Raw genomic sequence first — 22200 nt, 5'->3', positions numbered from 1 at the left:
TTAAAGGGACCAAGAACTGGAGTGAGCATCCACCTGGGCTCTCTGCCGACCCTGTGGCCCCCGGCCCAGGTGTCTTGGGCTCATTCCTATGCCTCTGGGGTGACACACATCCCCTCTTTTGGGGTATCATGTAGGCACCAGTCTGTTTAAGAGTCAGTCACCAGGCTCGCGTGAGGCCACCCCAGGAAGCTGCTGGAGGAGGGTAAGGCCCTGCCAGGTTGGGCCCTTGAGCACTCAGGAGGAAGCCTGGAGTGGCTGTCCCTGACGGCTTGGTCACGGGAAATCGCCTTTCCTCCCTTGCTGTTTCTTTTTGAGTATGTGGCAAACTACAAAATTTCCCTGCAGATGGTTAAGGAACCAAAATCGGATGCTCTAACTTTCGTTTGGGGATTTTGCTCTTCTACTAGGGCACCTCATTCTGCAACTACAAATGCCGGAACTGTGCAGCCAACACCCCAGAACAGAAGTTCTCTGAGCAGCCACTTCCAGGTCACCCCCAGAAAGGATGACATTCATCCCCGGGCCTCCCCCTGCCTTGGTCCTCCCTGGGGAAATGATTTGAATACGCGTGTGCTGTCTCAAGTTCCCAGGGTAATTAGGAAGTGGAACTTGGATGCCTCTTCCTAGCACTCATTTGGGTAAATGTGACATCTCCTGATTCCCAAAAGAAAACAAAAGTTAGGATAGGGTTAAAGAGGCCGGGCAAGGTGGCTCATGCCTGTAATCCCAGCACTTTGGAAGGCTGAGGAGGACAGATCACTTGAAGTCAGGAGTTTGAGACCAGCCTGACCAACATGATGAAACCCTGTCCCTACAAAAATTAGCCAGGCATGGTGGCAGGCACCCGTAGTCCCAGCTACTTGGGAGGCTGAGGCAGGAGAATCGCTTGAACCTGGGAGGCGGAGCTTGCAGTGAGCTGAGATCATGCCACTGCACTCCAGCCTGGGCAACAGAGTGAGCCTCCGTCTCAAAAAAAATTAACAAAAAAAAAAAGGATAGGATTAAAGAAAAATTCTCCAGTTTGTCCACAGCCTGCATTCCATTTTTTTTTCACCATTCTTAAGGATGAGTAAGAATCGAGCTTGCTCTGGGACCCATCAAGAGTAACGTCTGCTGTGTGTCTTTGAAATATTCGTTCGTGGGCGGGCGCAGTGGCTCACGCCTGTAATCCCAGCACTTTGGGAGGCCACGGCCGGCGGATCACGAGGGCAGGAGATTGAGACCATCCTGGCTAACACGGCGAAACCCCATCTCCACTAAAAATACAAAAAATTAGCCGGGCATGGTGGCGGGCGCCTGTAGTCCCAGCTACTCGGGAGGCTGAGGCAGGAGAATGGCGTGAACCCGGGAGGCGGAGCTTGCAGTGAGCCGAGATGGCGCCACCGCACTCCAGCCTGGGCGACAGAGCGAGACTCCGTCTCAAAAAAAAAAAAAATTCGTTCGTTCACTCCGTCCACTGTACAGTTGAAGAACGGGGTCTTTTCTGAGCCTGTTAAACTGTAAACCCTGCAAAGTTGCCCAGCCGGGCTGGGGGTCTGTCATTGCCACTGCCCTCCTGTGAACCCCACACATGTGAGCCGGTGGCCCCCTTTCCTCCCCACCTCTTTAACTTCACTGCACCCAGGCTTCATAACCCTCTGCGTGGACTCTGAAGAGGGGCAGCCATGAATTCGCTGACGTTGTTTTCAGAACTGTGGGTTGTGGGGTTTTTTGCCCTTGAATGGGTGTCCAGCTGCCAGTGGGTAGTCAAAGGACCTGAAACCCTAAAAATGCAATAGAATTTCTGACATTTGGTCAGGAATAATAATAATAATAAAAAATCAGCCTAAACATACAACTTTTTTTTTTTTTTTTTTTTTTTTTTTTTTGAGACAGAGTCTCGCTCTGTCGCCCAGGCTGGAGTGCCGTGGCACAATCTCGGCTCACTGCAAGCTCTGCCTCCCGGGTTCACACCATTCTCCTGCCTCAGCCTCCCGAGTAGCTGGGACTACAGGCGCCCGCCACCACACCCGGCTAATTTTTTTATTTTTAGTAGAGACGGGGTTTCACTGTGTTAGCCAGGATGGTCTTGATCTCCTGACATTGTAATACGCCCACCTCGGCCTCCCAAAGTGCTGGGATTACAGGCATGAGCCACCGCGCCTGGCCCTAAACATACAACTTCTAATGCTTTTCATAACGAGGCAAAATCCAGTAGCATCATTTAGATGCATTGAAGTTGGGAAAATTTCAAAAGTGCTGGAATTTCCTCCAAGCCATTCCCTGACTCTACCCACCCCTCCCATCCCCTTATACCTGCCACCATTCCCCCCCAGCATTTCCCCCATCCCTCCCCATCCTCCTATTCTACCCCCATTCCCCCAACCAGTTCCCCCACCATCCTCCCTTATTCTCCCTACAACCCCCTTGCAATTCCCCCCATGCCTGCCATTCCCTACCACTCTATTCCTTCCCCACCAGTCCCCGACCCTGCTCATGCTTCCCCCTTCCTCCCCCAACCTGCTCACCATCCTCAGCCTCCCCCCAAAGACTGAAGAGTGGGCAGCCCCTGAGGGCTGGGAATAAACACCAACATCTCTACACAGAATCCCAACTCCTGAGAGCTCTGACTGCAGGGCCACGTGTTTCCTGGCCCCTCCCCACTCTCCTAGTCCTTGAAACTCCAGCTCCTCTTTCAGAGACACACAGCCCAGGGTGTGGGCCTGCTCCAGCAGGTTGGAGATGCAGAAGTCTGAGAGGAGACCCAGAGACACCTCAGGCCCTCTGGAAATGGGCAGGCTTCCAGGGTTTCCAACAGAGAAAAAAGACCATTCAGCCAGGAGCGGTGGCTCACGCCTGTAATCCCAGCACTTTGGGAGGCCGAGGCGGGTGGATCACCTGAGGTCGGGAGTTTGAAACCAGCCTGACCAACATGGAGAAACCCCATCTCTACTAAAAATACAAAATTAGCCGGGCATGGTGGCACATGCCTGTAATCCCAGCTACTCGGGAGGCTGAGGCAGGAGAATCACTTGAACCGGGGAGGTGGCGGTTGCAGTGAGCCAAGATCGTGCCATTGCACTCCAGCCTGGGCAACAAGAGCGAAACCCCGTCTCAAAAAAAAAAAAAAACAAACACAAAACAAACAAACAAAACCTAGTGGCTTAAATAACAACGATCTTTTTTTTATTTTCTCCAGATTTCTGGGGGTCAGGAACTCGGGCAAGGTTTAGCTGGAGTCTGTCCTGCAGTTGCCTTCGGACAACGGCTGGAGTTGACTAGTGTGGGGCTGGCCAGGCGTGTGCCCACAGGGGTGCCCCCGGCCTCCTCGCAGCAGGCAGGCAGTCTGGCAGCTTTGAGAGCAGGTGTTCCTGTGCCACACTGACGACCACCATCGGACGTCACATAGTGTCACTTCTGCCATACCCCACTGGCTACAAGCAAGTCACCTGCCTGCCCAGACTCAAGGGGAGGGGACACAGACCTCCCCTATCTCAGAAGGAGCGTCAGACCGCAGTGTCGAAAAGCGTGCTGGGCAGGAAACACCATGGACCACCCTTGGAAAGCACCGCCTTGGCCCTGGAGGTCCCGGGAAGTGGAGCTGGAGCAGGGATTCAGGGCGCGTGGCTTATTGAGGGAAGGCTCTTCAATAAACGCCTGGGAGGGAGGGAAGACAGCGGCACGGGGAAGGGGAAAGAGCCGAGCAAGGGTGTAGGCTCAAGTCAGGTGCTCTCTGGACCACAGCCCACACCACTGCTTTGCCCCGCCTTGAAGAAAGGGGGCCCGGCCAGCCATCGGCTGTGACTCCCAGGCAGTGAGGAAGAGCACAGCCAGGATGTGTGGCTCCTGTCAGCCAAGGCCGTGCTCTGAAAAGGAGGCGGGCGTGCTGTCAACAGCCCGCACTCACCACGGTTAGGGAATGGGTGCAGCAGCCCATGAATGTGGTGCTGGCAGGGCTCAGTGCGGACTGCAGGGTGGTGCACCGTCCTCCTATCTCTGCGCCCGTGCCCCTTGGCATCTGACTTTGTTCCTTCTACGGAGAGGATCTGCTCCCCACTCCTTCCGTTTGGGCCCAGCCATGTCACTTGCTTCAGCCAACGGCACGTGAGCAGGTGTGACACACACACTGAGAGGCTCTGAGCTCCTGAAGATTCTGGAGGCAAATGGGAAGCAGCTGTTGGTGTGTTTCCAGAGAACCCCCAACCATGGCTCATGCTTTAGCCCTTGGGGCTCTGACTTCTCTGGAGCCTTAGACTTGCAGTTTGGGAAAAGCCAGGTTCACGGGTTCATCTTCCAGTTGCCACAGCTCCAAGTTAGAGCCAGAGAGCGCTCCCAGCAGGTCTGGGAAATGCTGAGCTGCCCGTTGCAAGGCATTTTTTTGGGGGGGGTCTCCTGGATAAAATTTCAATATTAAACATGAAGATTTTGCTATGATTCAATCCTCACTGGGCCTGAGGAAAGAGTTGTAACTACATTTCGATGTAGCATTTGAAGGGATTTAGTGATTTTCCATTAATTTCTTTCAAATGTCAAGGGTATATATCTTTCTTTGAGGACTCAGCCTATGGCAAATTTCAGATTTAAAAAGACCCATCGATGGAGTTATGAGACCAAGAAGGGGAGCCAAAAATCTACAATTCAGAAATTATGAAACAGCTAAGTTTTCAGTTAATTCAAAAACCGTCTCAGTGGAAAATGTTGTAAGCTTCCCATGCATAATCAAATAGATCTGGTTTGGAAATGCAACGGAAATGAATTGCTTGTAGGAAAGCTTTCCTTCTGAATAAAACGATCAAGCTCAGATCAAAGTCATGGCAAGTGATGGGTTCCCATTGCAGAAAACATTGGAGGGAAGACCACAGTTTAGCTCTAACAAGGAAACAAGTCGGATCCTTCCTCTCTCCTTCCCAGACTGTCTCCCCCTCTTCCCCAGCCTGGCCTCACAGCTGAAAAAGCATGCAGAAAGTGTTGTCTTCAATTTTACGGAGCAATGAATTTTGTAGTAAATATTTATTAGCTTCTTAGTAAATACGATTAAATTTCTGGCTGAGCTTTGCATGGCTTTCATTAGAATGAGCTAAGGTTTACTTTCAAGTCTAAGGAGATACAATAGAGTAAAACGGGGTAGACATTCAAGTGCAAATGAAAATTGGTGGCGATTACAGCAGGAAAATGCTGTCTTCCTGGCTCTGAGCAGCAGAAGGCTCTGGCAGGGAGCCAGGGCTCAGGCCCACGTCCTGTTCCTTCTCTGCCCTCTAGATGGGTATCATCATCTCTCCCAGCACAGGTGTCAGAAAAACCTTAGCTCCTTCCCCAGGGGCTGGGGGATGCGAGTATCCACTAAGGGCTGGGCCTGTCCACTCCTGCCCCCTTGTCATTGTGACCAACTCAGAGAAGGCCTTTGACCAAGGTCCTATAGTCACCACACAGTACAGCCCAGATCAGAGTTCCAACTCCCACCTCCCTCTCCAGTGCTCAGGACACTCTGATGCCACTCAATAGCCTCTTAAATAAAGATGCGCTTTCATTTTGTCAAAATGACTTCCACCCAGAGATCCCACTCCCGGGCACCTGCCCTAGAAGAATGCAAACACCTGTCCACACGAAAACATGTACACACGGTCGGGCACGGTGGCTCACGCCTGTAATCCCAGCACTTTGGGAGGCTGAAGTGGGCAGATCACGAGGTCAGGAGATGGAGACCAACCTGGCCAACATGCTGAAACTCCGTCTCTACTAAAAATACAAAAATTAGCTGGGAGTGGTGGCGGGTGCCTGTAGTCCCAGCTACTTGGGAGGCTGAGGCAGGAGAATCGTTTGAACCTGGGAGACAGAGGTTGCAGTGAGCTGAGATTGTGCCACTGCACTCCAGCCTGGGCGACAGAGCAAGACTCTGTCTCAAAACAAAACAAAACATGTACACACATATTTACATCAGGGTTACTCACAAGAGCCAGGGCGTAGAAGCAATCCAAATGTCCATCCACTGATGACCAAATAAACACAATGTGGACTTCTCACACAGGGGGATATTATTTGGCAATAACAAGAATAAAGAGGCCGGGCGCGGTGGCTCACGCCTGTAATCCCAGCACTTTGGGAGGCCGAGGCAGGCGGATCACGAGGTCAGGAGATTGAGACCATCCTAACTAACACGGTGAAACCCCATCTCTACTAAAAATACAAAAAATCAGCCGGGCGTGGTGGCGGGCACCTGTAGTCCCAGCTACTTGGGAGGCTGAGGCAGGAGAATGGCGTGAACCTGGGAGGTGGAGCTTGCAGTGAGCCAAGATTGTGCCACTGCACTCCAGCCTGGGCGACAAAGCAAGACTCCATCTCAAAAAAAAAAAAAAAAAAAAAAAACGAAAAAAAAGAATAATGCACTGACATAGGCCACACCAAGGATGAAACATTATGCGAAGTCAAGGAAGATTTTCCATGCACCCAGGACCACATGCCATAAAATCACATTATGTGAAATGTCCAGAATAGGCAAGTCCCTGGAGACAAAAAGTAGATTCGTGGTTTACAGGGGCTGGCTGCGGGGAGGAAGGGGTGACTGCTAAGAAGTGCATGGTTTCGTTTTGGGGTGATGAACTTGTTCTAAAATTGATTATGATGGTAGTTGTACAACCTTGTAAATAACCACTAAATTGTACACTTAAAAGTAGTGAATTTCATGGCATGTGAATTATATGTAATTTTTAAAACAAACTTTCACCTGGATGGGTGTGGGCGACAGTGTGAGCCCTGGGTTAGAATCCCAGCTCCCCCACGTTCCAGCTGTGGGACTCTGGGTGACTTCCTTCAACCTCTGTCCTGCCCTTTCCCCAGCTCTGGATGTCAGCAACGCCTGGGGCTGGTGTGAGGATGAAGTGAGCTCCTTCGTGAGCCGCGCTTGGTGAAGAGTTCAGGCCAAACCCCCATGGCACCCAAGGCAGGCAATGCTGGTGGCTGTCTGGCCGATGTGTGCACTGGTGAGGTGGTGGCTGAGCTCACGGCTGGACTGAGGGCGATAGCAGGAAGAGAGGCCCGGCTCCTGACGAGTCCACACTCACCAGGCCACCTGCTAGACACGGGATGGCAAGGGGTGGCCCGAGCTACACTAAATGGACTGTCTGGGCAGAGATGTCTTCTTCCAGGCCCTCCAGACTTCTACAAAGTAGCCTTCTCCTCCTACCAGAACCTCAGGTTGCCCAGACGCTGGAGGGCACAGGGACATCTGAGGGTCCCACCACGACAGGCTAGAAGTGGCTCTTTTATGAAAACCTTTGTCAGAACAAGCGAGGGGACATGGGTGACAGCCTCACAGGCCACCCAACAGCCACCCCTCCTTCCTTGCTGACAAAGCCCAATTTTGTCCTGTGGTCTAGGCATTGCCCTGTGTGCCTCAGGCATAGGCTCTGATTGGCTAAGCCAATGATTCTCCTAGACAATGATTGGCTTAGCCTGGGGCATGTGACCCAATCCTAGCCAATGAGATGTGAGGGGTGGCTATTGAGGAATGCTGGGAAAGGCTTCTTGGCTGATAAGAAGACAGAGGCAAGGCCGGGTGCTGTGGTTCACGCCCGTAATCCCAGCACTTTGGGAGGCCGAGGCGGGCGGATCACGAGGTCAGGAGATCGAGACCATCCTGGCTAACACGGTGAAACCCCGTCTCTACTAAAAATACAAAAAATTATCTGGACGTGGTGGTGTGTGCCTGTAGTCCCAGCTACTCGGGAGGCTGAGGCAGGAGAATGGCGTGAACCCAGGAGGCAGAGCTTGCAGTGAGCCGAGATCGCGCCACTGCACTCCAGCCTGGTAGACAGAGCAAGACTCCATCTAAAAAAAAAAAAAAGAAAGAAAAGACAGAGGCAAAGATGCCTTCCCTGCTGCTGCTGATGGTTGGGTCAAAAGAAGACACACAGAATCCTATCTACTGAGCTTGGCAGAGATAAAGGGTGAGAAAATGGCCTTCAAGATGCCACCAAGAGCCAGCCAGATGTGGTGGCTCACGCCTGTAATCCCAGCACTTTGGGAGGCTGGGGCGGGTGGATCACTTGAGTTCAGGAGTTCGAGACCAGCCTGGCCAACATGGCAGAACTCCGTCTCTACTAAAAATACAAAAATTAGCCGGGCATGGTGTCTCACCCTTGTAATCCCACCTACTCAGGAGGCTGAGATGGGAGAATTGCTTGAACCCGGGAGGTGGAGGTTGCAGTGAGCTCAGATTGCACCACTGCATTCCAGCCTGGGCAACAGAGAAAGACTCTGCCGGAAGAAAGAAAGGAAGGAAGAAGAAAGAAGAAATAAGGAAGGAGGGAGGGAGGGAGGAAAGGAAGAAAGGAAGGAAGGAGGGAGGGAGGGAGGGAGGGAGGCAGGGAGGCAGATGCCACCAAGGGGCCAAACTGGTGAGCCTAGAGCCAAGAGTCCTTCCTTGGAAAAGGCCACTACTTTCCTTATCACGCAAGCCATTTGTGTCAGGTTTCATACTTGCAGCTGAAATGGTCTTAGCCGACACAGTGGGCGAGATGCAGGGAACCCGGGCCCCAGTGCCTAGCGGGGTTCTGCTGAGGTGGGGTGTTTAAGCAGCATAGGGATACAGGTAGGCATACTTTCCAAGTAGGAGTCTAACTAAGCCTTTTGGTTGTTTACTCCTGGGAACCCAGTCTATTTTAGTGCCTTGGACTCTTCTCAAAGGTGCCCCAAGAACCCTCGAGAGTCCTGAGTTAGTGTCACATCCTTCTCTCCGGAGGGTCCCTCGGGGAGGAATTTCCAGAGGGAGGACATACAGAGGCATTTGCTCCAGCCATGGGGAGCCCAGGGTCCGGTCTTGCAGTTTGGGAGTCCCCTTCGGGAGGCTGTGGTCTCGTAGCCTCTGGCCTGTCCTGGGAGTCAGGAGGCCAGGGGCTGGCTCCACCTCTGCCTCAGTTTCCCTGTAATCAATGAAGAGGAGCAAAGGATTGCTGTGTCCCCCCATCTCAGATGTGCTCTGATTCCGTGATGATGGTGGACAGAAGGAACACAGAACCCCTGCTCCCTCTTTTGGAGAAGAACTCATTCATTTATTCCATAACGTCCATCAAGTTGCTAAGGCTCTGAAAGGAGGCAATGCTTCCGCCGCCTCTTAAGATCACCCAGGGCCCTCCATGCTCGGGAGGAGAGGAGGGGTCTTCAGGCAGCAGACCCAAGATGGGCTGTGGCAGAGAGATACCAGGGTGCCATGTGCTCAGGACACAGAGGGCCAGTAGGGAGGTCAGGGGCAGGTCTGAATCCTATCTGGAGGGGTCCAGGCAAAGGCTGCTGAGATGTGTGATGGGATCCTTGGATCCTCTTCAGGAAGGAAACTCCTGGTAGTGTGGACCAAGGCAGGCGCAGGCAGAGTGGGTGGCCACTGTGGCCACCAGTCAGACCGGAGGACAGTGATGTCAAGGGTCTGAGTAGAGGCCAGGACTCCAACTGGCAAGTGGGTCATAGGGGTTGGTCTGAGGTGGGCTCAGGATCTGTCATTGACAGGATTTGATGATCAGCTGGCTGTTGGGGGTTGCTGAGGCTGCAAGCGGTCTGGCTGGCCCAGACACCCAGGGCAGGGGGCCTAAGGAGAGTGGGTCTGGGAGAAAGGCCTGTGAGGAGCTGGGTCGTGTGCAGCTTGGGGCTTCTGTAGCACATCCTGGGAAGACCCCAGAGAGATGCAGGGCTGCCGGGGGAGCTCAAGGGTGGGGGCCTTTCGGGTGAGGGCAGGGAACCTGAACAGGGATTAAAAATCCACCGTGAGCCCCTCACGGGGCATTCCTTTCCAGCAGGATGCAGTGTCCTGGCCAGGGCCTGGTGGGTCGTCAGGGCCCTGAGCTTCCCTCAGTTTCCATGAGCCTGAGCGCCCTGGAGGAGGGAAGAGTGAATCAGGGGAATGGAAATCAAGCCCCGTGGCATGCACAGCCAGCGACCATGCATCATTTAATTTGGGGTTGCAAAAATAACTCAGCCTCTCCCCTGAGGTGCTGGAATTCCCCAGTCTTCGAGTGGGGTTAACTTTAGTAAGAGTGAAATTCAGCCAGGTTGGCGGAGGACAGTTTCCAAGTCTCCTCAGGCCGGCTCTCGCAGTCTGGTGACTGTGTCCAGCCTGCCTCCGTTCTCCTCATTGTCAATGGCCATTGTTGGAATTGCTCCTTCCCGTGACTTCACCTGGGAAGTGGCCTCACCCTTGAACTCAGGACCCCAGACAAGGAAATGAAGCCTCTAACACAGCACAGCCACCACCTTCTGCTCACTCACGCTCCAAGTTCACAGTCCTCCAGGCCCGGCTGCTGCTCTGCACCTCCAGCAGAGATGTATAAAGATTTCATGGCCTAGGAGTGTAATGAGCCCCAGATTATTAAGATCCCATTTCTCTTTGAAAATATCTCATGAAGTATTCTCTTAAATAATTAAAACTAAATTCCACCTATCCAAATAAATGAAAAAGGGTGTTTGGCTCCGTTGTGTCCTTGAGTGACTCTTCGGGGCCACCAGATCCTTTCCATGCTCCCCGCCACCAGATGGATTTCCAAGTGCTGGGCTTTCCAAATGCATTTTCTTCCTCTCTTAGGCCAGTGTTGTTCACAGTGACACGGACCAGTTTACGACCTTCCTGGTGTGTCACCATCCTGCTGATACGCAGGTCAAAAAAAAATCACACAGACATCAGACGCTGACACCAATAGGCCCATCCCAAAATAAGGATTTATATATATTCCAAGAATGCAACTTCATCTATACTTAGGATGGGGAACTTGGCCCCGCTGGACGACAGTGAGCTCATCACCTCCAAAAGCCGGAGTTTGGAGCAGGACTCAGCCAGCATGTCTGGGGAGTATCCTGCCAAGGTCCTCCAAGTGGGTCCCTTTGTGGCCATTGCTGTCTTGCGGTGAGAGTGGAGATGTCTTGTGGGGTGAGGTTGTTGTGATGGACAACAGAGAGAAGAGAAGAAAGTCTGGGCTGGCGGAATCAATTCAGTGTTCTCTTTCCTGCACATTCTGAGGCATAGATAGATATTATGTCTTCCATTCACCCTGGTGGGGTTGGTTCCAAACATCTCTTAACAAGAGTCTTATTCGAGTGCTGGGTACAGTGGCTCACACCCATAATCCCAGCACTTCTGGAGGCTGAAGCGAGTGAACACTTGAGTCCAGGAGTTCAAGACCAGCCTGGGTAACATGGCAAAACCCCGTCTCTACAAATAATATGAAAATTAGCCAGGTGTGGTGGCGTGTGCCTAGTTTCAGCTACTCGGGAGGCTGAGGCAGGAGGATCTCTTGAGAACAGGACGTCAAGGTTGCAGTGATCACGCCACTGCACTCCAGCCTGGGTGACATAGCAAGACCTTGTCTCAAAAAAAAAAAAGTCTCATTTACATTTCAATGTTGCTCATTCTACAGTTATTGGTGTCCTACTTGGTGCCAGGCAGGGCACTGGGTGAGCACAGCGTAGGGATCTTTGCACATCTCAAGTGACAAACATGCACTGATACGATCCGAATTGCACCGTTAATGAGCAACTGCTTCAACACTTACAAGGAAGAGCAGGAGGAGGACTGCAAAGGGCAGCCTTGTAAGGTTACACAGGTGGTGCACTGCACAAGGGGCAGCCTTGTAAGGTTACACAGGTGGGACACTGCACAGGGCAGACATCTTAGCCTGTGTATAGTAAAAGACCTGTGTTGTAACTAATCAGTATGTCACGGCTGCCTTCTGGCACATGGAGCAAAGCATCCTGAGGACGGGAGTGCCCCATTTTAATTCCCTCCTCAGGGCCATGGGGGCCGGTAGGGCCCGAGCTGCATTTGTTGAGTGGGAGGTTCCAGGTGACCTCAGACAAAGTCATTCCCCTGGCGTGCGGGGCCAGAGTCCTCACGCAGCAGGTGGACTGTTCCTAGGAAGTGAGGGGGTGAGGCAGTCATCAGGCATCTGGGAAAGACTAGGAGGAAGGGAAGGGGTGCCCTGCAGTGGAGCAGATGGGGGCCCAGGGAGGACCCAGGGCAGGGCGGGGGCAGGGAGGGTCCCCGTGGACCTAGTCCAGTGCAAGAGTCCCTCTGGTGCTGAGGCCATGGCACTCAACCCTGGTCGAATCAGGGAGGAAACGACTCTGCCAAGAGCCCGAGGTTTTTGGGGAAGGAATCAGGGCCTCCCACTCCAGCGGGCCTCCCACTCCAGCGGGCCTCCCACTCCAGCGGGCCTCCCAGGCTGCCTTGGTGTCTAGCCCGCACAGGCCAAGCAGCCCACAGCCACGTTGCAGCCCGGGCCCAGAACAGCTCAGTGCCCACCAGATGCTCAGTCACACCTCAGGAGAACTGTGACCCAGCAGCCAGTGCTGAGAAATAAGCTCAGGAAATCAGTATTACGAGGACAGAAGTTTTGTCCGTGGGTCTCAATAAAGTTATTTTCATTTTAAATTGGGGGAAAAAGCCATGCATGCTCACTGTGTTGGCCCTGGATTAAGAGGGGTTGCTCCCCCTGCCCTGGATGTGTGTTCATCCCCGCCTCCCACCCACTGGCCCCTTAGGGGCACCCCAGCTCCCTCCCACCCCAGTTCCCACCTCTGTACAAGGAGGGCCTAGGCCTGCCCAGGCGGCCCTTCCCAGGATTCAGGCTCTCGCAGGGAAGGGGGAAGGGGATGTGGAAGGACACGGGAGCCCTGCACGAGGGTCCTAAGGGAAGCACAGCGGTGCGGTGCCTTGTGATGATGGTTGTTATTGGCTTCCCTGGACAGGCTGCCCCCACCCCATGCTCACTCCTGCCTGTGGGACACACACCCCATGGTGATTTTGCTGAATCCTCACTACAGCCCCACGGGGCAGGGCCCATCATCTCTGTTTTAGAGATGGGAACCCTGAGGCCCAGCGAGGAGAAGTAACTTGCCCAGGGCCACACAGCTCTGGGCCAGTGCTGGCATCTGAGCCACCCTCGGGGACCTCCAGCAACCACAGGCAAAACTGTGCCTTCCGGATCACCTGGGGTCAGGAGTTCAAGACCAGCCTGGACAACATGGCGAAATGCCGTCTCTACTAAAAATCACAAAAATTAGCCAGGCATGGTGGCAGGCGCCTGTAATCCCAGCTACTCGGGAGGCTGAGGCAGGAGAATCGCTTGAGCCTGGGAGGCAGAGCTTGCAGTGAGCCGAGATTGTGCCACTGCACTCCAGACTGGGCAACAGAGCAAGTCTCCATCTCGAAAAACAAACAAACAAACAAACAAACAAAACTGTGCCCTCTGCCTCCCGCCTCCCGCAGCACCAGGGTGCAGTTCCAGGACATGAGCTCGCCCTAGCAAGCACTCGCGTGGCACAGTGCAAACTTCCCTAGCTTCCTGTTACAACCCTGTAACTTGCTCCAGGGGCCTCAGGCCTCACCCCCTGACCATCCCCAGCCCGGACTTCTCTTCCCCTGTCCAGAGGGGGCTCTGTCCCCATCGTGCAGGCTTTGCCGGCGGGCGCTGCACCCTGCACAGGCCACGCAGGAGGCTCTCTGCAGGCCCCGCCACACTGCTCTGGGTGCTGGAAAGGTTGTGTCTGCAGGCCCCGCCATGCCGTTCTGGGTGCTGGAAGGGTTGTGCTGCCTTTGCTCCCTGGGCCTCTTATGCCCGCAGACCTGTCACATCAGCCACCGAGGCCCGATCCCTGTTGCCTCCTTTTCCAGATGCCATGGGGTTTGAAGAACTCGCGGGGCTGGCCCTGAGCCCAGGTCTGACTGCTCTCCGCCTCCCTGTCCCGCACCCCAATTTCTGCGCAGCCATGACAGACAGTGCCGACGGGGCCAGGTCCTGTGTCAGGCCCACACCAGCCCAGGGGTGGAACTGACCCCCAAGCTCCCTGGTTTCTCTGCAGCCAGCAAGGACCCTTTGCAGTGGAAAGTGCTGGAGTGTTGTCACCCCCAAGGCAACCCTCAACCCTGGGTCAAGAGTTCCTGGATAAACACCCAGCCCCCCACCATCTGCCGGCTGTCCTCAGGCGCATGACATATGATTTCATATGGTCCCTGGGGGGACTGAGCCCTGGGTTCCCACAGAGGTGACCAGCTCCATCCCCCAACCTGCAGTGGCCCCAGCCAGCCTCTCCCCAGGAGACCCCCTGGGAACATCTCCCAGAAAAACCGCCTGTGCCCAGCTCCTGGCCCTGACTCTGCTCTTTAGGGCGCAGGATGGGCCCCGCGGCCATCTGGACAAGGGTGTAAGAAGAGACTGCACACCAGCTCGGGAGTCTTTAGAACCCACCTCTGTCACAGCCTGGGCTGTGAACCCAGGGGACTGGGCCCCAGCACCCCGCACCGGCCTCGGCACACAGGAACGACTCAGCACGCACCGAGGAAGGGACATCAACGAGCTGAGAAATGTCGCTGTGCTGAGCTGCGCTCATAACCAGTGGATTCCTGGTGTATTATTATTTGTTGATTGTTGATGTAATTTTTCTTGATTTGCTGATTATTATTTGTTGATTCTGGGTTTGCACAGCCACAAATATTCAGATATCTCAAACCCCACTCCCTGCTGCTTCTTGCTAATTCAAGCAAAACCAAAATGCTGAGCCTGTGTGCACACGGTGCCTCCCTGGCACCATGTGAGCCGATAATGGATGGAAGAGGCCCTGCCCCCACCTGCTCTGGGCAAACAAACAGAACAATTAGCCAGAAAGAGTTCGCCAGGCGGGAGGGTCAGCTGCGGCAGCCATGTCCGTTCTGACTAGCTCCCAGAACATTCCACAGCCGAGGCACCATGATTAGGGGGCCCCCTCCATGCAGGCGCCACTGCGGCTGCAGGGACCGAGGCCGCGGGGACCGAGGCCACAGGGACAGGCACTAATGGCAGCCACAGGCCACTCCCCTTGACCCCTCTCCAGCGACTCAGCCCCCGGGATTAGCCCCCAAGATGCTGCCTGGGCTGTCTCAACAAACAGTGAAAAGGTAATGCAAAACAGGAACACCAAGAGCTGTCCCCGCACAGGCTCAGGGCTGCTCAAAGCTGGCCAGGCTGCTGTCACGCAGGGAGGTGTGGGATGCCTGGCAGTGGCCCGCTGCTCCCCTAGGATGGCAGTGGTGGCTGTGTGGCAACACATATAGCTTGTGTGCAAAGCCCTGCTTCTCAGCACACCGATTCCTGCAGGTAGGACTTGCCTCGATTGTCGTCCCCAAGCATGGCCTGGTCCACACCGCACGGCTGGACCCAAGCACCTGGCTCTGGGGAGAAGCAGCTGAAGGGGCTGGGAACGCAGCGCCAATCTCTGCTGCAGGAGAGGGCGGGTGCTGCACGAAGTTTCAGGGACCCTCCTCCAGGCCTTGCAGGGGCGTGTGACAGCCGCGGTCCCGGCTGTGCTGGGGAGGAGAGGCTTCCAGGGCCAGAGAGGCTGGGAGAGGTGTTTACAGGAGCCGAAAGTGCTAAAAATAGCGGGGGCCTTGCCCCTGAAGCCACTCCACCTGACCACCCGGCAGGTGCTGGGACAGGAATAGGCAAGCAGACCCCAGAGGGACAGGCATAGGGCAACCCCCTCTCAAGGGTGGGGGGGTTGCCTACTGGGAGCAGAGGATGAGCTGGGCAGAGGGCCCAGGCCCCTGGAGCTCTGGAGCTGAGCTGCAGGAGGAGTGAGGACGGGAGCCCCAGTTCTGCTGGCAGCTGGGAAGCAGGCCCCAAACAACCAAGGGTCAAGCCACACGGACTCAAGGGCCCACCGAGGTCCCAGAGCCCCAGTGGACTTCAGAGCCAGAACTAGTGGTCTCCAGGCCACACACAGGCTGTGTGTCAGGCTCACTAACGCACCTCTCAGGCGCAGCCTCCTCTCTCACACCATGGGTGCCACGCAGCCCTCCCAGGGTGATGGGAAGGTGTGTGCTGCAGACAGCGGGTGGCTGGACCTGGAGCCTGGCTGAGGGGGTCAACAGAGGACTAGCCCCTGTGGCCAATGTTTCCGGGGCAGGGACAGCAGTGTGAAGGGAGTTGAAAGGTAGATAAGGCCAGGCACAGTGGCTTGAACCTGTCTGTAATCCCACCACTTTGGGAGGCTGAGACGGGCAGATCACTTGAGCAGCCTGGGCAATATAGCAAGACCCTCTCTCTACAAAAGATAAAAAAATTAGTCCTTGTGGGCTGGGCGCGCTGGCTCACGCCTGTAATCCCAGCACTTTGGGAGGCCAAGGCGGGCAGATCACCAGAGGTCAGGAGATCGAGACCATCCTGGCTAACACGGTGAAACCCCATCTCTACTAAAAAAATTAGCCGGGCGTGGTGGTGGGCGCCTGTAGTCCCAGCTACTTGGGAGGCTGAGGCAGGAGAATGGCGGGAACCCGGGAGGCGGAGCTTGTAGTGAGCCAAGATTGTGCCACTGCACTCCAGCCTGGGTGACAGAGCAAGACTCCGTCTCAAAAAAAAAAAAAAAAAAAAAATTAGTCCCTGTGCCGGGAGCGGTGGCTCACGCCTGTAATCCCAGCACTTTGGGAGGCCGAGGCGGGCGGATCACAAGGTCAGGAGTTCAAGACCAGCCTAGCCAACATGGTGAAACCCCATCTCTACTAAAAATACAAAAATTAGCTTGGTCTGGTGGCACGCACCTGTAGTCCCAGCTACTCAGGAGGATGAGGCAGGAGAATCTCTTGAACCCAGGAGGTGGAGGTTGCAGTGAGCCGAGATCGCACCACTGCACTCCAGCCTGGGCGACAGAGCGAGACTCTGTCTCAAAAAACACAACAAAAAAAATTAGTCCTGGTGGCACATGCCTGTGGTCCCCAGCTACTCAGGAGGCTGAGGTGGGAGGACCACTTGAGCCCAGGAGGTTGAGGCTACAGTGATTTCACCACTGCACTCCAGCCTGGGCAACCGATTGAGACCTTGTCTCAAAAACAGAAAAAAAAAAGAAAGGTGGACGAGAGCTGGGCCATGTGAATGGGTGAGGCAGGTCATGAGTGTGTCAGTCCTAGGTCACAGAGGGGACAGAGTCTGGGACCCCCATCCAGGCCCCCCAGGCACAGCCGGTGTCCCTGGATAGCTGATAAGAATAGGCCTCTGCATGCTGGTTTTTCAGTCCAAAACATCTTGGAAGTGACATGCTCTGCAAGCTAAAAAGGCTCAGTCACCAAAATACAGCAGCCAGGGCGCCAGACAGCCAGTGTAGCGGGCCGGGCCACACTCTTGGACATACAGCTCATGTTTTCAAAATATCACACCTTATGACCATTCCTAGCATGGCCAGAAGAGCAGGGGTGGGGGTGGGGATTGGCCTTCCATTGTCTTCGCAAGTGTGAGCAGCGGCTCCAGGTCTACAGTCAAGAGGCCCGAAACAGCAGGCACCTGGGAACGGGCACAGGCAGACGGTCTGGGGCTAGGGCTGCGCCGTGCACATCACCAGAAGGTGCAGATTTGGGAGCAGGAGAACCCCACATGCCCCCTCAAGAAGCTGACTCACAGGCTAATTTGCTGTCCCCAAGAAGCCATTCCCTCTCCAGGGCATCAGGCATCCATTGAGCACAAACCGTGGTGTCACAGGCGTCAGCGTTCATGCACGGGGGCCGCTGCAGGTGAGAAACTCCTTGCGCTGGCAAAGCTGCCCATGGGCGGAAGCACAAGCCCCACCCTTCAGCCAGCAGGCGTGGGACTCCCTGCGTACCAGCCCCTGGCTAGGTATGGAGGAGGCAGACAGGATGGAGGAGAGGGGAGGGGAGGGGAGGGCGCATCCACGCGCCCAGGGACGCACATATACACACATGTACACATACACATACACACATATATACACACATAAACACACATATACACATACACATAGACACACACACACATATACACATACACAGACACACACACACACACGCACACACGTCCTGGCTGCCTCCACAGTCACTCCTGCTAGTTCGTGTACCCGAGGAACCGCCACGTACACACCCAGCAGGCAGCTGCCTGGGGCCTATGTTCGCTGTGTAGGCCTCATATCACCCGGCCGTAGAGACAACCCCGAGAGTCAGCCCAGGAAATGGTGGGGAGGACAAGTATCTCCTGCTGACATCAGGCTCAGAGGCGGAACCCCCACCTCAGGACCTGCCCCACCCGTGCCTGGCCCTCCAGAGCAGACCTCCTCCCCCAGCCCAGAAGCAGGCTCCCTGGACCGTGAGTCCCTGCCCGGCTCTTCCTGCAGGGACTCAGAGTGGCCCGGGTGGCCCTGGCCATGCAGAGATGGGCACTGGGACCACCCCTGCTCCTTCCCTCCAAGCCCTGGCTCAGCCTGCTTCCCCTGCTTCCCAGACACCGTCGCCTCCACCCTGCCTGGTCTGACTGTCTTGATCTTTTAATCGGAGGGTTTGTTTCACCCACGTGGGATTTCGGCTGGAGTTAAGGTAGAGTGGGGTCCGCCATGTTAATATTTATTTTGTCTCATCTCTTTTGGTTTGTCTATTGCTCCTTTCCTGCCTTCTTTTGTGTTAATACAATATTTTTTAGTATTCCACAATTTCCTATTGGATTTCTGGCTATATGTGTTTGCATTATTGTTTTTTAGTGATGGCACTGGAGGTGAAAATGTGCATTTTAACTAATCCCAGTCTTCTCAGAATTAGAATTGAATTACTTCAAGTAAAATAGAGCAGTAGAATATTTCCACCTGCGCCATCGCCAGGGCTGCTGCAGTCATCTACCACATCTACTTATTATACATACAAAATAAAGCATTCTTATTTTCGCTTTAAATAGTAAAGTCAGGGCTGGTCACAGCGGCTCACGCCTGTAATGCCAGCTCTTTGGGAGGCCGAGGTGGGAGGACTGCTTGAGCCCAGGAATTTGAGACCAGGCTGGGCAACAGGTGAGACCCTGTCTCTACTAAAAATAAAAGAATTGGCCGGGCACGGTGGCTCACGCCTGTAATCCCAGCACTTTGAGAGGCCGAGGCAGGCGATCATGAGGTCAGGAGATTGAGACCATCCTGTCTAACACGGTGAAACCCTATCTCTATAAAAATACAAAAAATTATCCGGGCGTTGTGGTGGGTGCCTGTAGTCCCAGTTACTTGGCAGACTGAGGCAGGAGAATCAATTGCTTGAACCCGGGAGGTGGAGGTTGCAGTGAGCTGAGATTGCGCCACTGCACTCCAGCCTGGGCAACAGATTGAGACTCCATCTCAAAATAATAATAATAATTATTATAATTACATAATAATTATAATAATAATTATTATTTTATTATTATTATTATGACAAGCCTGGCCAACATGGTAAAACCCCATCTCCACTATTTATTTATTTATTTATTTCTAAGACAGAGTCTCTCTCTGTCGACCAGGCTGGAGTGCAGTGGTGCAATCTCAGCTCACTGCAACCTCCAAGTTCAAGCGATTCTCCTGTCTCAGCCTCCCAAGTAGCTCGGCTTACAGACGTGCACCACCACACCTGGCTAATTTTTGTATTATTAGTAGAGACGGGGTTTCACCATGTTGGCCAGGCTGGTCTCAAACTCCTGACCTCAAGTGATCTGCCCACCTCGGCCTCCCACAGTGCTGGGGTTACAGGCGTGAGCCACCACACCGGGCCTATTTATTTTTTGAGACAGTCTCACTCTGTTGCCCAGGCTGGAGTGCAGTGGTATAATCTCAGCTCACTGTAACCTCTGCCTCCTGGGTTCAAGCAATTCTCCCCCCTCAGCCTCCCGAGTAGCTGGGATTACAGGCGCCCACCACCATGCTCAGCTAATTTTTTTGTATTTTTAGTAGTTTCACCATGTTGGCCAGGCTGGCCTCGAACTCCTGACCTCAAGTAATCCACCTGCCTTGGCCTCCCAAAGTGATGGGATTACAGGCGTGAGCCACCACGCCCAGCCTCATCTCTACTAAAAATACAAAAATTAGCCAGACATGGTGGTGGGTGCCTGTAGTCCCAGCTACTCAGGAGGCTAAGGCAGGAGAATCACTTGAACCCGGGAGGTAGAGGCTGCAGTGAACTGAGATTGCACCATTGCATTCCAGCCTGGGTGATAGATTGAGACTCCATCTCAAAAAAAATTTTTTAAAAAAATAAAAGAATTAGCTGGGTGTGGCTGGGCGCAGTGGCTCACGCCTGTAATCTCAGCACTTTGGGAGGCCAAGGCAGGCGGATCACGAGGTCAGGAGATCAAGACCATCCTGGCTAACATGGTGAAACTCCGTCTCTACTAAAAAAAAAAAAAAAAAAATTAGCCAGGCGTGGTGGCGGGCGCCTGTAGTCCCAGCTACTTGGGAGGCTGAGGCAGGAGAATGGTGTAAACCTGGGAGGCAGAGCTTGCAGTGAGCCAAGATCGCACCACTGCACTCCAGCCTGGGAGACAGAGCGAGACTCCGTCTCAAAAAAAAAACACAAACAAATAAAGAATTAGCTGGGCATGATGACATGCACCTGTAGCCCCAGCTATTGGAGGCTGAGGCAGGATGATTGTTTAAGCCCAGGAATTTGAGGTTGCAGTCAGCTATGATTGCGTCACTGCAGTCCAGCCTGGGCAACAGACTGAAACATTATTTCTTAAAGAAAATAATTATAACAAGGCCGGGTGCGGTGGCTCACGCCTGTAATCCCAGCACTTTGGGAGGCCGAGGCGTGGATCACGAGGTCCTCCCAGTGGATCACGAGGTCAGGAGATCGAGACCATCCTGGCTAACATGGTGAAACCCCGTCTCTACTAAAAATATAAAAAATTAGCCGGGTGCAGTGGTGGGCGCCTGTAGTCCCAGCTACTCAGGAGGCTGAGGCAGGAGAATGGCGTGAACCCAGGAGGCGGAGCTTGCAGTGAGCGGAGATCACGCCACTGCACTCCAGTCTGGGCAACAGAGCAGAGCGAGACTCCGTGTCAAATAAAAAAAAAAAAAAAAAGAAAAAAAAATAATGATAACAAATAAATAAATAGTAACTTTTTTTTTTTTTTTTTTTTGAGACGGAGTCTTGCTCTGTCACCCAGGCTGGAGGGCAGTGGTGCGATCATAGCTCACTGCAGCTTCAAACTCCCAGGCTCAAGAAATTCTCCTGCCTTGGCCTCACAAAGTGCTGGGTTGCCACCAGCCCCCCATCTGGTTTTTTATTAATATGTCTACCCACATATGTACCCTTCTGTTGCTATTCATTTCTATCTGTAGAACTGAGATGCCATCTAGGGTCATTTCCACTTACCCCAAATTTGCTTTGGCATTTCTTTCTTTCTTTCTTTCTTTTTTTTTCTTTTTGAGACGGAGTCTCGCTCTGTCGCCCAGGCTGGAGTGCAGTGGCGCGATCTCTGCTCACTGCCAGCTCATGTATAGTTTTGCGGTCAGCCAGAGATTTAGCAAAGCTTATATGCCGATTTTGGGTCTCATCCCTTCTGCAATTCTCTCATGTCAGAGTTTCTGCCAGTTTTTCTTCCAGCTCTGTATATTAAAGAAAATAGAGAAAACAATGGGCAAGATATATGACAAGATAAAAATATTTCAGTGGAGACTTAGTCTATAAAAAGCCATTCTAGGACGGGAGTGGTGGCTCATGCCTGTAATCCCAGCACTTTGGGAGGCCAAGGTGGGCAGATCACAAGGCCAGGAGTTCGAGACCAGCCTGCCCAATATAGTGAAGCCCCACCTCTACTAAAAACACAAAAATTAGCCAGACATGGTGACGGGTACCTGTAATCCCAACTACTTGGGAGGCTGAGGCACGAGAATCACTTGAAACTGGGAAATGGAGGGTGCACAGTGAGCTGAGATCAAGTCACTGCACTCCAGCTGGGCAACAAGAGTGAAACTCTGTCTTGAAAAAAATAAAAATAAATAAATAAAAGGCCATTCTAGTAGTGCAATATAAAACATCTGAAATTGAGAACTAATTGCATGGGTTTGATAGCAGCCAGGACATAGAGACGGTAGAATTAGGGAACTCAAAGACAGGTCAGTATAAGATATCCAATCTGAAGCACACAGAGAAAAATACTGCGGGGAAAACAAAAATTGAGCATCAGAGACATATGTGAAATGTAGACCTGCAGCCCCTGAAGGTGACAAAAGACAGAAAGGGACATAGCAGTAGTTAAAGCAACAATGACCAAGTATTTTTGAAGCCTGATTAAATATGTCAACTTGCCGGGCACAGTGGCTCATACCTGTAATCCCAGCATTTTGGGAGGCCAAGGCGGGTGGATCCCCTAAGGTCAGGAGTTCAAGACCAGCCTGGCCAACATGGTGAAAACCTGTCTCTACAAAAAAAAAAAAAAAATTAGCCAGGCATGCTGGCGGGTGCCTATAATCCCAGGTACA

At 53.4% G+C, this 22200-nt stretch overlaps 1 long non-coding RNA gene across 1 annotated transcript, besides 7 other annotated features; it reads right to left on the bottom strand.

Annotated features, from left to right (window-relative positions):
• Positions 239-318: an enhancer, noted in NCBI's record as "active region_9081". NCBI's record gives its function as "activates an Ori minimal core promoter by ATAC-STARR-seq in GM12878 lymphoblastoid cells {active_cell/tissue: GM12878}" and the evidence as "EXISTENCE:reporter gene assay evidence [ECO:0000049][PMID:35858748]".
• LOC124903390 (uncharacterized) lies at positions 3140-22085 on the bottom strand. The gene is made up of 2 exons (XR_007064356.1): positions 21092-22085; positions 3140-11868 (listed from the first exon to the last, which is right to left on the bottom strand). It is a non-coding gene; the product is annotated as an uncharacterized LOC124903390 (long non-coding RNA).
• Positions 6506-7006: an enhancer, noted in NCBI's record as "H3K4me1 hESC enhancer chr14:103224133-103224633 (GRCh37/hg19 assembly coordinates)". NCBI's record gives its function as "activates a minimal SCP1, AML or CMV promoter by ChIP-STARR-seq in primed H9 embryonic stem cells {active_cell/tissue: H9 hESC(primed)}" and the evidence as "EXISTENCE:reporter gene assay evidence [ECO:0000049][PMID:30033119]".
• Positions 6719-6978: an enhancer, noted in NCBI's record as "active region_9080". NCBI's record gives its function as "activates an Ori minimal core promoter by ATAC-STARR-seq in GM12878 lymphoblastoid cells {active_cell/tissue: GM12878}" and the evidence as "EXISTENCE:reporter gene assay evidence [ECO:0000049][PMID:35858748]".
• Positions 9899-10068: an enhancer, noted in NCBI's record as "active region_9079". NCBI's record gives its function as "activates an Ori minimal core promoter by ATAC-STARR-seq in GM12878 lymphoblastoid cells {active_cell/tissue: GM12878}" and the evidence as "EXISTENCE:reporter gene assay evidence [ECO:0000049][PMID:35858748]".
• Positions 10139-10338: an enhancer, noted in NCBI's record as "active region_9078". NCBI's record gives its function as "activates an Ori minimal core promoter by ATAC-STARR-seq in GM12878 lymphoblastoid cells {active_cell/tissue: GM12878}" and the evidence as "EXISTENCE:reporter gene assay evidence [ECO:0000049][PMID:35858748]".
• Positions 14216-15050: an enhancer, noted in NCBI's record as "H3K4me1 hESC enhancer chr14:103216089-103216923 (GRCh37/hg19 assembly coordinates)". NCBI's record gives its function as "activates a minimal SCP1, AML or CMV promoter by ChIP-STARR-seq in naive H9 embryonic stem cells {active_cell/tissue: H9 hESC(naive)}" and the evidence as "EXISTENCE:reporter gene assay evidence [ECO:0000049][PMID:30033119]".
• Positions 17860-18033: a silencer, noted in NCBI's record as "fragment chr14:103213106-103213279 (GRCh37/hg19 assembly coordinates)". NCBI's record gives its function as "represses an EF-1alpha promoter that drives an FKBP-Casp9 reporter gene in an ReSE screen in K562 erythroleukemia cells {active_cell/tissue: K562}" and the evidence as "EXISTENCE:reporter gene assay evidence [ECO:0000049][PMID:32094911]".
• Positions 22086-22200: the final 115 nt, after the last annotated feature.

Source organism: Homo sapiens, chromosome 14 (assembly GCF_000001405.40).
Source record: "Homo sapiens chromosome 14, GRCh38.p14 Primary Assembly".
NCBI lineage: Eukaryota > Metazoa > Chordata > Mammalia > Primates > Hominidae > Homo > Homo sapiens.
This window is presented reverse-complemented; position numbering and strand designations above follow the sequence as displayed.